General features: G+C 35.5%; 1 pseudogene; it reads left to right on the top strand.

Annotated features, from left to right (window-relative positions):
* RPS15AP20 (ribosomal protein S15a pseudogene 20) lies at positions 663-1,108 on the top strand (annotated as a pseudogene).

Here is a 1,314-nt window from a genome sequence, read left to right as displayed (position 1 = left end):
CAGGGAAGGTGGGTTTAAATTAAGGTACCTGGCTCCAGGGTCCCTCTCCTAAGCATCACACCGTGCTGGCTCTCTACAAAGGAGCCTCAGAACCTGTCTGGTGCACTCATGTGATCAGGGTTCTTAAAATAGATTACTGTGTCTTCAGTCCTTCCAAATGAATATGGGAAATATAGCAATGATTATGGCCAATTTGGCTGTTCATTTGTTGCAAATAAAGACTGCCCATATCCAAATGCATTATCTGTAGAGACGTAATGTAAATAGCACCCCCCAGATTTCTCTAGTCTTGTCCTTAGAAGCAGAACGGAAGTTTAAAAAATAATAATTAGTGTGAAGTTCAATAATTCCAAATAATACGTGATTATAGTATTTTTAAGATTCTGATGCTGCAAAACATAGTTAATTCTCAATCCATATTTTAATACAAATAATACCTGTCAAATTCAACACATTAAAAAATTTATTTGTATGTAAATAATGCTTTTTCTTACATAATTAAAATAGTAAGTTAAGCTGTATATGTTTGTTAAATGGGAAAAAGTAAAACTTACTTCTGTATGTAATAAATATTATTATATTAGAAGTACTTCAGTATATAATTTTGAATCCTATTTTGTCTTAGAATAAAATAGATTTTATTTTTAAAATGTCCCTGTATTCTCTTTCCTCCATCTTTCTGCACTGCCACAATGGTGTGCATGGACATCCTGGCTGTTGCTCTCCAGAGCATCAACAATGCTGAAAAGAGAGGCAAACGCTAGGTTCTTATTGGGCCATGCTCCAAAGTCAGCATCCGGTTTCTAACAGTGATGATGAAGCATGATAACATTGGCGAATTTGAAATCATTGATGATAACAGAGCTGCGAAAATTGTTGTGAACCTCACAGGCAGGCTACACAAGTGTGGAGTGATCAGCACCAGATTTGATGTCCAACTTAAAAATCTAGAAAAATGGCAGAATAATCTGCTTCCATCCCACCAGTTTGGTTTCATTGTACTGACAACCGCAGCTGGCGTCATGGACCATGAAGAAGCGAGTCAAAAACACAGGAGGGAAAATCCTGGGATTCTTTTTCTAGAGATGTAATACATATTTACAAAAAAGCCCCTATTCTATACCATGAAAAATCAATGCAATGGTTTATAAATTACTCATGGTTATATTTTTCTCAAGATTATATGTTTCCATGAACGTGTTTCACAGTTTTAAAATACTACAACATCCATTACAGACTAATCGAGAAATGAGACTGAAGTCACAGAATGTTGAAGGCCTTTTTCCTGCTAATGTTCTATGTTATGACATCATC

This window comes from Homo sapiens, chromosome 6 (genome assembly GCF_000001405.40).
Source record: "Homo sapiens chromosome 6, GRCh38.p14 Primary Assembly".
Lineage (NCBI taxonomy): Eukaryota > Metazoa > Chordata > Mammalia > Primates > Hominidae > Homo > Homo sapiens.
Note: the sequence above shows the minus strand (reverse complement) of the source record. Positions and strands in the feature narration are given on the sequence as shown.